General features: G+C 38.1%; 1 long non-coding RNA gene across 1 annotated transcript in view; it reads right to left on the bottom strand.

Annotated features, from left to right (window-relative positions):
- Positions 1-13,254, bottom strand: part of ADAMTS9-AS2 (ADAMTS9 antisense RNA 2) — a 326,599-nt gene that overhangs the window by 139,879 nt on the left and 173,466 nt on the right. The window contains exon 4 of the long non-coding RNA NR_038264.1: positions 4,333-4,422. This is a non-coding gene — a long non-coding RNA (ADAMTS9 antisense RNA 2). The remainder of the gene's footprint in view (positions 1-4,332; positions 4,423-13,254) is intronic.

Below are 13,254 nucleotides of genomic sequence, written 5' to 3'. Positions count from 1 at the left end.
ATGCCTTTAACATGCCTGGCACAGTTTAGATGTTCAATAAATGTTGAATAAATGAATAAATAATGCACTCTGTAAATCAATCTCATAAGCCAACCCAGATAGATTGGTAGCAGCTGCCCAGAGGGCTGTACCAAGAAAAATCCTGAGGCTATATTTAAGCTCAGTGGGAAATGTGACCTGGTTGATTAGCAGTGTCTGTCAAGGGCAGAAGAGGGGTGAAATCAAGTGTGTGATATATTCGCCTTTTGGGGGCTAAACATAAGTAATATAGCTATTCTTACCCTCCCTCTCACTGTATCTTTAAAACAAAAAAAAAATTTCTTTTCCTTCAATTTCTAAAACAAGCTAGGTGGCTGTCAGGGTCTAATCAGAAATAAAAATCTTCTGCAGTCATGGCCCCTATCTATTCTGAATCCATCATTCTTTCTCCACTCAGGAGGGAAGAGCAAATATATCGGGGTTTGAGTCATTCAAAGAGACTGCTGAAGGAAATTCTATTTCACTACTGTCACAGTGTTCACTGCATCTTGTTAAACCGAAAAACATTAAAATATAAAACTTTAAATCTCACCCTCAATTGACTCAGCTTCCCTGTTGCAATTCACTTTATCAAAGCCAGAGGAGCAAGTTCTGACACTACTTACTGGGAGAAGATGTTGCAAAACAACATATATTTTAGATGTTGTCTTGAAATTCGTAAAATGGTCTATCCAACTGACCCAGAGCTCTAGTGGAGTGACACTGTGCAAGTAATTTGGCAAAAAAGTTTCACTAACAGCTAACCTCTAGTTACAGAAGCCATGCCAATTTGCCTGATCTTTAGGCAATTAGATCCAAAAATGTGGCAACAAAACACAGCCAACTTTTTTCTTTATACACTTTGGTTTGAATTTGTGATAACAAGTATGTGTTACTTTATAAATGGGAAAAAAAATTCATATGGATATAAATAAAATACATATGGATGTATTTTAAAAGGCAGTGTTTCTAAAAAGATATCTTTCTCTGAGATTAGAACAAAATGAACCAAAATATTCAAAAGTGGATGTTTTTAAATGGAATTGCAAGTACTTTTATTCTTATTTAAAATTAAGCAAGAAAAGTGATAGAAAAGCTATATTAGAACATGAAAGCAAGAGGAAGTAAAGAATGAGGTTGATATCCATGCTGTATAACAAGTTATTACTATAAAATTAATGTGACATAATACTTGATTTGATAAGATTCTACCTTTTCCTGTTTTTGTTTCTAAAAGTATTTGCTAAAAAAGTAAATAAGGGTGAAGAAAGATCAGCTTCAAGTATATCTAAATTCAGAAGTTTATGTATTCTGGGGATTTGGTGGAGATTCATATCATGGGACAGATACAACACTGGGGACTATAAACAGGAGTAAATCTAATTTGGTATTCTGAATATTTCCTTTTTAAGATTTGACAACCAAATGAATATACAACAAATATATAATTGGCTCTCAAGCACATTAAGAAAAATGCTACATAATTCATTAGATACAGTAGTAGATATTGGAAATGTGTCAAAATTTATTCTAAAGTGCCAACATTTTCACTTACATAAAAGTAATCACTGCATAAAAATTGTTGCCCATAGCCCAGACCAATAGAAATATAAAATTCCTTAGCTACAAACTAGAGATGATGAAAAAAGGAAACTACATAATGTGGCAGACTAGAAAAAGTCTAAACTTTGCACAAAGCATCAATCTCGAGACCTAATTAGTGCCCCTTGGAAACTAGTTTTTCAATTAGAGATTTGAATCAATGCCAGAGACATGAGAATGAATTTGCAAAATGTGCTTCCATCCACCTTTTTTAGCTTGAGGATTTCAGTTACAAGAAAATGTACCAAGAAAATAAAAATCTATTACAGAAGAGAGAATCCTTCACAGACCAATGAAGATAAGAAGGAAATCTTTTGTGTTCCAAAACCCATGAAGGAAGTCTTAAAGACTTCAGTAGACAATAGTTAAAGGAGAGAAGGAGAAAATAAACCTATCTAATGTGTAAACTCCAAGCTATTCAGAGCAGGCCTCTTCAAACCTTCTAGGTATTGATTTGGCCTCAGGATTATCATAGGGGATGATGAAATATCATTGTTGATGGAGCAGGATGGTACTTTGGAAACTTGCTTTGGGTCCTCCTTGAGTTTTCCTACTATTAAAGAAGGTAGGCAGGGCTCTGTGTTCTCTTCCCTCATGGGGTTTGAGTTATATGGCAGAAAACAGAATTTGCCTCAAGAGAACCCTTGCTGCCTGTTTTTTTTTTTTTTCTTTTTTTTTCTTTTTTTCAAAAGTCTGCTTATTGATTAGGCCACTATTATTTTGGTTCTTCATCACTTGTAATTGAACCTAATTCTATTAATAAATGAGATTGAAATTACTACCAACCTGAATAGATGGTAGTTCAAAGTAAATTTAATTTGGTTTTAGAGAAATGGTGTTAAATTATTTTTGCACAACAGAGCTTGGGATATAATACCTGTTCTTGTTCTAATAAATTTAGAAGAAGGTACACTTATCCTGGAGATGGTCCCAGTACAACTAAAACTTCAGTATGCATAAGAATCACCTGAAAAGTGTTAAAATACAGATTGCTGGGACCTAGCTCAGAATTTCTAATGCAGAAGATCTTGGTAGGGATGAGAACTGCATTTCTAACCAGTTCCCAGGTGATGCCGATACTGCCGGCCCAGGACATAGTTTTGAGAATCGTTTTTCTAGATCAATTCTCAAACTCTCTGAAATAAAGGACAAGTTTTATTTTGTTTTTCAATCTGACCTGAACTGATGCTTTTGTAAAATACAAGAAAAATAAATTACTAGAAAAGTGAAATAATGTAAAGGTAATACAAATACAAGCCCCATTTTTAAAATTATCATTTGGATCCAACAGACATAAAATTACGCTGCAAATTATTATAAAGGTTTCCAAAAGCTGACTCTCAATGTCTATGCTGACCTGATCTTGGACTGGTTTCAGAAAGTAGACAGATTGGCCCCAGATCCCTGGCCCACTATAGCACTCCCAGCCTGACTGAGAAGTATTGGTTTAGAGGCTCTTCTGATTCTTCCTGTCTTGGAAATTTCTGGAGTAGAATCCAAAGACCTCAAGCCTGGGCCCAAATCTTCTACCCTGACCAGTAATCATTAGCAGTCTTTTTTTCTTGATGACAGTGATATAAAAGAGGTGATTTGTTTGAGGGCTGGTTCAATAATACAGAGAGCTTCCTTTTCTCTTAGAGCATTCTAGAGCAGCCTCCACTGACAAAACTTCAAAGGAAGTTCTCAGCAAACAAGCAATTGTCATCTGATCTCTGTCCCTACCATGGGATCTTCACTTTCAAAGCACTACTGACCAATAATTGGCAACATATTTTGAGCACTCACTATGTGCCAGGAACAATAATAAATTGCTTATAATTAATGTATGTGCTTTACAGGTATTTTCTCTTATAAGTTGTCAACAACTTCACACGGCAAGTGTAATCATCATATTCATTCACAAAGGGGAAAAAAGGAGACCCCAGATAGTGAAATAACTTGCATGAGATCATACAGTGGGAAGTGGGCACTTACACCCAAGTCCCATGTGTCTTCAGGGGCCATGTTTTTAACCTGCAGGCTTTACTTCTCATTTCACCCAAGATCCTCTCTTGCAGAAATCCAGCACAGAGCAAGCTGTGTACTTTGTGCAAAGCATCCTGGATAGGAAGCACAAGACCCAAGCTTAAGTCAGGGCTCTGCCCACAACTAGCTAAGAGCCTAGAAGTCATTCTCCTCTTTGGGCATCACTGAGTCCTCATCCATAATTTTCTTCAAGAACTGATGTTCCTTGAAGGGTTATAAGACATTGTAGAACAAATGAGCTCTGTGGTCAAATAAATTTAGGAAAGACTGAATGGAATATCACCCTCTGTGAGATTCATATTGCCTGCATATTAAAGGATCTTGACAGGGCTCAGAGCATAATACCCCAAAAGATGGTACCTTAGCACACAGGAAGTTTAAGCTGAAGGAAACTGGAAAAAAGCCGCAGAAGCAGGAAGGTCTCTCTGACCTTCTCTCCAAGCTCTTCCCCTCCCTTCCAAGCAGGCCATAAACTTGAATTCCTGATGCTTTTATTCCCTGAAGCAGGCCATAAATCCAAGGGAGTTTACTCTCTGGCCCTCTTCTTTCCTTCTCCACTAAAGGCTCTGTGACAGTGTCCTGCCCTATACCCAGGGGAAAGGGAAGTCACATGGATGCCAAAAAGAAATCCAAACAAACAGGCCTTGCCGAGAACACCCCACCCCATTTATTACCATCAGACCATACCTTTTTGTCTTCCAATCATACTTTGGCATGACTGTCCATAAACATATATGGTTTCCCCTGTTGTCTTTGCATCTTCATTTCTGAAGTCTCCTGTGTCACAAAAAATTTATATTGAATAAATCTGTATTTATAGTAATACAAATATAAATGTGTTTATGTTAAATATATGACATTAAATACATTTGCTTTTCTTTTGTTAATCTGTCTTTTGTCATAGGGGTCTTGGCCAAGAGCCTAGTGATGTACGAGGAAAAAATAATTCTTTTCCTGAACCCTTGCCCTCTAAAAGACCCTATGGTAAAAACGGTTTTGATTTTATTAAACCTAGCATTTCCCAAAAGTAATTGATCAGAGAAATCCTTTTTCATACAACAAATATCTTAAATAACAGTGGATGTTCATGGAACGTATTTCTGGAAGCAATACTCAAAAGTTCTGAAATTCTGTGAGTCTACTCCTGGTGTTCCTGCTCACATAGAATGCGGTGTGGCAGGAGGAGGGGAGTCAAAAATAATAACAAAAACAATAATAACAGCTAGACCTTATGGTACGTGCTATCATTAACTATGTGCTGGACTAGAAACCCAGACACTATTCTAAATGCTTTACATCTACTAACTTAATCCATATAACCACCCTATTATAATAATTATAGACATTATTATCCCCATTTTGCAACTAAGGAAATTAAAGAGAGGCCCCAAAAAGAGCAATTATATGTTTCTCAAACTGAATCCTTTCACTGAGACTTAGGTTTTCCCACATGCCCTAAGAGTGTCAAGAACAGAAATAGAAGCAAGCCGTTTATATTTTATTTTGTTGCCCAGTGTGCTTTATTTGCATACCAAAAGCATGCTGATGTGACTGTAATCTGCACTGTTGAATGTTTCTGACTTCCTTTTAGTCTCCCTCTGTTTAGCATGGTTCACACTCATTACTCTCTTGATCAAGTTACAGACAAAAGCAGGCTCCAAATTAGGCCTATTAAGATTTGTTTTTAATGAGGAGATAATTTTTCTAACAACACAGGCCAGATTCATGTGGGTATGATTACAAAATCAGGCCATATTGCAGAAAAGCAAAGCAAAGCAGATTTTTGCCTGGTCTTCAAATAATTTCAGCCAGCCTTGATTAACTTGATGACACTTAAAAGCACAAAGCAAATATAGGATCTGGGACTTTGGAGTGATGAAGCAATCACATGGCCTCTGTTCTGCTATGACAGTGCGAAAGTTTCTGTATCAGGGATTAGAACTTCTTAGAAGGCAAATGCTCAGATTTAAAATATTAGAAATCACAGAGGAAAAGATAAATGCATTCTTTCCACCAGTGTGAGCTTTAGAAAGCAAGCTGTCTCGCTTTCCTTAAATTCATTTGCCAGTCCTTTTTGTCGTTCAGGAAGAAATGCCCTGCTCTGTGTGACTGAGGAAAAGGATTTGATAATTAACCCCAAGCTTTTGGGGTCTCTTTGCATGTGTTTTATTTTCATTTTAGTTATAATAATATAATAATGTAAAAATAATCTGCATACTCACTTTCTAAAATATTCTTTGCCAACATCATTTCTACATATATTTGTAGCCCCTGCATACTTATTTTGTAAGTATTGGCTTAAGAAGTCTTTATCTGGTTGGGTGCAATGGCTCATATGCCTGTAATCCCAGCATTTTGGGACGCCAAGGAGGGAGGATCGCATGAGCTCAGCAGTTTGAGACCAGCCTAGGCAACACAGTAAAACTCTATCTCTACAAAAAATACAAAAAAATTAGATGGGTGTGGTGGCATGCACCTGTAGTCTCAGCTACGCGGGAGGCTAAGGTGAAAGTATCACCTAACTCTGGGGAGGTTGAAGCTGCAATGAGCTGTGATTGTGCCACTGCACTGCAGCCTCAGTGACAGAGTGAGACCCTGTCTCAAAAAATAAAAAATAAAAAATCTTTACCTGTACCATAATAAATACTTAAATTATCTCTTTATATTTAAAATCTACCTAAAGTATCCATTTATCTGACACTCTTTTACAATAATATATATAAGGAGAATTGATTTGGGCCATCATGCCCCAATTTTGGTCCAAAGCCTCTTTCATCTCTCATTGTAGCACCACAATGAAGACAGTGACAAGCCTCATTAAATATTTAAAGTTGTTGAGCAATTTCACCTTGTTAAAGTTGTTTGTGGAAAACTGAATTTAGCCTGAATGTCAAGGAATAGCTCTTAACCACAGGCAGGAGATCGAAAAGAAACCTTTAGCAAGACCAATGGTTAGAACACAATACATGACTCTACATGTAGAACTGACACAGCCAAATGGCTTATTCGTTCTGTATTAACATGGTGGAAACCATCATGTAGCATCTGGGGGCTGAGTGAATGAATCAGAGGAAAAAAAAAAAAGGCCCAGAACAGAAGGCCAAGGCTAACTAGTCCTTGAACAGCATCACACCCCCTACACTCCATCCTGACACACACACAACCACACACTCTCACACTCACAAATGACTCGGCATGATCACTTGTACAAGGCAAATGTTCAATAAATGTAGTCTCATTTCAGTTCTGTAAATATCCTCGTTTCTTTCCGGATGTAGTCCTTTCACACAGTATTTTGGATTTCTAGAACTCTCTTTACCCAAACATTACATGGCTCACTTTTTCTCTGTCTTTATTTTTCAGCTCAAATAAATCAGAGCAGCTTTTCCTGAGCACACTTCCTAAAAAGCATCTACCCAAACCCTGTTATTCTCCATCTCCTCTCCTTATTTATCTTCAAATATAACACTTACTTGATTTATTCTTTTATTAGTTTTGAACCTGTACCCCTTATTCCAGGGTATGATCTTTGAGGGTATAGAAAATATCCATCTTCTCCACTGCTGTATCTCCTACCCATAATGTGATAAAAGAGACACTTCATGTTTTCTTTACTTGGAAGAATGTATTTTCTTGCTTTTCTCTCATTGGCCATTTTGATTTTCACTTCCTATTATAAATTGGCCTCTGTGGAGACAAAAGTTGAGTTTTATGTGGATCCCAACAATCCTTTAATAAATGCCTGTAACCTCCTTCCCCATATATTTTGAGTGTGATTTTACCCACTGTCTCTCAATGAGTGTTGTAGGTAAAGATGTTGGAGAACTCTATCCTTAGAGACTTCACTTAATATTTCTCCCAGATGAACTGACTGCCTCACAAAAGGACTCTTTGTCTTTTGAATTTAACCGGCTCTTTGTCTAGGCTGGCATCCAGCACCACAGGAGTAAAATGTCAATGCTCTCTATTTAATCAATGTTTTATTCTTGGCTTGTATTTCAATAGGGGGGATGAAACAGCAATTCAAATGTCATTGCAGATATATTTTTTGTCCCTTTTTCATTCCGGGTCTATGTTATGTGAATCTCAATAATTTAGAATTTATTTTCAGTCTGTACAAATCCCTTGGAGAAATGTACTATTCATTTGCTAAAAGACGCAACAGCTGTGTTGACCTGACACCAAAACCAAGACTCTCTCTCCCCCAACCCAAAGGGTCATTTTATTACATTCAGCATTTTTTTTTAAGTCAAAATTGCCAGATTCTATTGTTTGCAGACCAATGGTCCCCTAGGTTCATTTTGTGGAAGACTAATCTATAGTGATATTTTGGCAAAAATTGTTTCAATGGGCCAAAGATTTGAGAAACAGTATTTGCATATTTAAGTTCTGAGAAGACCTGATAGAAAATCACCTAGCTTAATTTTGTTTAACTTTTAGGAGTTTCCTCATTTATTTGACTGTAGCAATGGTTCACAAACTGTGGTCCCCGTGCCACCTGGGAACTTGTTAGAAATGCAAACGACTGGGCACCACTCCAGACACAGAATCCAAAACCCTACGAGGGAGACTCGGCGATCTGTTTTCAGAAGTCTTTCAAGTGATTTTGATATATGTTTAAGTTTGAGAATTATTGGAATGTGGAATCCTTGTATTCGGACCAGCTTTTCAGATATTGGAACCATTATATTCAAATCATCTCGGGAACTATTCAATCGGTCTGGGGTATGGCCTGAGATTCTGCACTTCTCCCAAGTTCTCAGGTGATGTTGATGCTGCAGGATGGTGGAGCACACTGTGAGTAACATGGCCTGAAGATACTTCCAAGCTAGCACAGGCATGGCTGACATGCATGGGGATGAATACTTAGAAAGGTTCTTACCGTAGAAACTATGGGCCAACTGTCTTCTATGGCCCATCAGACCAGCCCTTCTTCACCTCTCTGTGTATGTTTGATGAAGGATGAGTGGAAATGACAACTTGATGCTCCTCACGTGGCCACACCAGGTGTTCAAAGACAGACACATGGGAAAGGAGGTGGTAAGGCCAGACATTCCTGAGTATGGGAATTTTTCTTGCACTTACAAGTAAAAATTAGTAGCTATGTGGTCTTGGGCAGCTTACATAACTGTTGAGAGACTCAAGCTCCTCATCTGTCAATTGCAACTATTAATGGCACCTGTCTTGGTAGTTGTATTGAAAGTTACCTATGACATTCTTGTAAAATGCTTATACTGTGGTACATAGTAAATACTTAAATGATGATGATGATTCTATTAAACTGAAATATCCTAAAGTCAGCCTTATAATTCAATAGAAAAAAATGTTGTTGGCCAGGCGCAGTGGCTCATGCCTGTAATTACAGCACTTTGTGAGGCCAAAGCAGGAGGATCACTTGAGCCCAAGAGTTTGAGACCAGCCTGGCCAACATGGCAAGACCTTGTCTCTACAAAAGTTAAAAAATTAGCCAGGTGTGATGGTGTGTGCCTGTAGTCTCAGCTACTCTGGAGGCCGAGTGGAGAGGCTTGCTTGAGCTCAAGAGGTCGAGGCTGCAGAGAGCCATGTATATGTACTCTCCAGCATGGGCAACACAGCAAGACTCTGTCTCAAAAAAAAAAAAAAAGGATTTTGAAGCAAAGGTCAAATTATCTTATTTTTCCTTCATTCCTGGGGAAGGCAAACGACCTACTTTCACCTTGATTCCCTTCTTACAGCTCTATGTGCTAAAACCACCTACCTAGGTATCTACTAAATTGTTAATTGTGTGGTTTGTTAGTAGAATTGCCGCTGATTCTTATTTTCTTCTTTATAATATGACTGTGATAAAAAATAGTCTTATATAAAGGTTGACAACTTGCCTCATTTCAGGACATTCCAAGGGAGATTCCAGGTCTTTTCTTGTGTGGATCTAGGTAATGGGTAAGTCAGCCAAACAGAAGAGTTTACAGGGATCTAGCTGGGAAGGCCAGAGAACCACGTGAAGAAGAAATGAGTTGATAGGTGCTAAAGCATAGGCAGGGAGAGGAGACAGGACAGCTAGCAGGGGTCGGAATGTGGGGTCAAGTTGGAGGGAGAAGAGAGATTGTGAAAGAGTAACTGTTGTCTGCTGTGATGAAAGCAATTAATAGATGGTGCAGAGGGAATTGAGGGCATTTCGGTGGTCATGAACAACAATTTCCTGTCTCCATATCTCTTAGGGAGATGTTGGTGGAAAGTTAAATTTATTTTCATTGATTTTTGGATGTCAGATTTGTGCTTTTGTTGAGTGTGACAACATGTGGAGACTGACCTTTCAGTCATTTTCAATAATACCAAATTGCAAAGTAATACCTTGGCATTTTGGTATTATTTCAGTAATGTGTTTCCGTATTTTAAAAATATAAGTATTTATTACATTTGTAATCAGAAAAAATAAGAACCCTCACTTTTAATAAAAGAGTTATCCCCTTACATTTTAAACACCCAAATTGTCTAAATTAGTGAATCTCAACTCACACTATTTCACCTTCCCAAGGGACATCTGGCAAGGTCTACAGACAGTTTTGGTTGTTTCAACTAGGGGTGTGTTAGTGGCTTCTGGCAGATAGACGCTAGGAATGCTGTTAAACATCCTATGATAACAAGACAGCCCCCATAACAAAGAATTGTCTGGTCCCAAATGTCAATAATGCTGAGTTTAAGAACCCTGGTCTAAATTATTAAAAACTTCCCTCCTTGATTCCAACTCCAGTGCATGATCTGAATATTTCCTCCAGATATAATTTATGCACTTTCAGTAATCATAATTCAAAGGGGAAAATATTCTGCATATCAGATAAGAAACATTAACTATCCTTAGGCAACTTTTTCTTCCACCTTATCTGAAATAGTAAGTACCGTGAATAAACTACCAATTTTGTCCGGAGACTCCTACTATGATAATAAAAATAACCAATGAATAAAATGTCCAATTCTACAATATCAATTAGTTTAGAAATTTTCTTGCCAGTAACAAAATTCAGTTCAGAAATTTTCTTGCCAGTAACCAAATTCATGCTGACCTTTATCTGATTTGCATGGCCGGTGTTTTCCATGAAACTGCCATCTGAAGGAGATGCGGCCAAGCATTTGAAGAGGCAGTGAGGCCAACTGAGTAGAGCCTTGTCTAGTCCTGAGTTTGTGTCTAGGCCCAGCTCTACCACCAGTGAGCTCGTATCCTTGGGCAAGTCACATTGCTTCTCTGAAGCTCAACTGCCTCATCTGCAAAATTAACAGGAATTGGATTATATTCACCCTAAGGTTCCTTCTGGTTCACTCTAAACTCTAGTTGAGTGCCTTCTCCATGAGGAATAATGCCTCTCAGTTGGCCTTTGAAAGGGCATCAAATAAAGTTCAGGTCAGCCTCAAGTTCAAGGAAGTGTTTGTGCTATTTCTGAAAAAAATAAGAAATGGACAAGAGTATGGCAACTTGCCACTGGCAAAGCGAATATATCTAAATGGAAATTTAGCATTTTCCTCTGCTAAGACAAATCTGCATCCAAGTAGAATTTGAAAAATGGCAAAATGTAGATTCCTGCTGAAAACAATGAATCAACATTAACATCTGTTAGACTTCTTTTTTTTTTTTTAAGGTCAGGCCACACCATATTATAAACCATGGTCAATCCTTGTTCACTCCCCTTATTATCCCCCTTCCAAAAACAAGTAAAATAACAAATTTTTAAAAAAACAACATAAAAACAATTTGCATTGACTTCATTGTAACAGAATGTAAACCAAAACACATCTTTGAAGTTTCCTGTACAGATGGCTTGTCCCTGCGCTCCCATGGTAAATGCTAAGCAAAAAAGTGACTGAACCACAGGAAGTTGAGGAGACCACAAATATCTAACACCACAGAGATGGCCCAGAAATGCCACTGACAAGCATGAAATACATTAAACCAATGCATCTTTTCATAGCAGTCCCTTTCTGGGTCGTTTGAGGCAAATCTTTTTAATTTGAACTTGTTGGTAGGTTCTTAAGTATCAGCAATAGGACCTGCTCTCTTGAGCCCATTTTTCTAGTGAGAGAGATGGATTTGTGCTGCTTTGTTGATGGCTGACACCTGGTTCCCCTGGTGACTTGTAGCAGGCATTAGTAAGGCTTCCTGAGGTCTGGAGTCATGCTGGGCAAACTTCTTTGACCTCAACATATAGAAATATATTTGAAGTCATTACCCAGTAAAAATGCACACACAACCACGCGAGCTCACACAATAATCTACATACTCACAGTAATCTACATAAGACTTTCGTGAACCAGTCCCCTTACATGTGCCAGATGCTGTAATGTTTATACTCTTTTATTTTTTTCTTCTTCCTTTTTTTAAGTACTGGCCACACTCCATTACATTAATTTCATGACCCACCTTGAAAAAAAAGATGCCAATCTTTTAATACAATTTTTAGTAATACTAATGATGATTGGTACAAGGTCTTATCTCACCTCTCTGTCCCCAAACCAAACCATTCTCTGTCCAATCTTCAGAGTGATGTTTTCAATGTGTAAAATGTATCATGTACTTCTTCTACTTATAACTCTTCACTGGTTCTTCCTTGTTCTTAGGATACATGCTTTAAGGCTCATTGGTACATAGTTACCACTCAGCCTTTCCAGCTTTAACTCTTCTACCCCATCTCTGCCCTTGCCTTTCCCATAACACATAGCCACATACAGAGTTCCCTTCAAAGCATCACAGCCTCTTGGATCTATCTTGGATTTATCCTGTATGCCAGTGCCTTCTGCCCGGATAATTGTCCCTACCCTACTCTCCCTTTGCCCTCTCATCCCTCAGGCTGAAATGCCTGCCCTTCTTAATTGGGTCCCATGTCTTTGATCCTTTCATAACAATGACACAGGCTGCATAAACACATACAGAAAAGGTGAATAAACCATGCAAGAACTGAATCTTGAACTGTCTGGCTTAGAGCATCATAGAATTTTTAATCAAAAAGGGACCATAAAAATTATTAAGAGAAGTGGTTGCCAACTTATGCTCTTTATATTCAGGGGTCAGTGATGGCCACAATGAGTGTCTGAGTACTGTGGTTCAATATTTTAGAAAGTCCAGGGGAAAAGTACCCACTAAGATGTGATAAGAGTGAACAGGGAACCCAACCTAAGATGGTGAAGAATATTCCTTCCCATGAAGGAATGATTCTAACGTGAGTCATACACGTTTCCCTCATTGTACTTGGTACTCCCCAAACTTATTGTTATTTGTCTGCTATATATTATCCACCTCCCTTAACTGCAATGTGTGTTAAATGGGACTTGGACTATTTCGTTGGCCTCTATAGCCCCCTGGCCTTGTGGCAGAGTTTGCAAACTATGGCCAACCAGCCAAATCTGACCCACTACCTGTTTTTTGTAAATAACATTTTATTGGAACACTTCCAGACCCACTGGTTTACATATTGTTCGTGGCTGCCTATGTGATAAAACAGTGAAGCTAAGTAGTTGTGTCAGACACTGTGTGGCCCTCACAGCCTACACCTTTTACTATCCGGCCCATTATGGAAAATATTTGTCCATTCCTGGCCTAAACCACTGACTGAGAAATATAAAGTGCTTAATAAACACTGATAG

This window comes from Homo sapiens, chromosome 3 (assembly GCF_000001405.40).
Source record: "Homo sapiens chromosome 3, GRCh38.p14 Primary Assembly".
Classification (NCBI taxonomy): Eukaryota; Metazoa; Chordata; class Mammalia; order Primates; family Hominidae; genus Homo; species Homo sapiens.
This window is presented reverse-complemented; position numbering and strand designations above follow the sequence as displayed.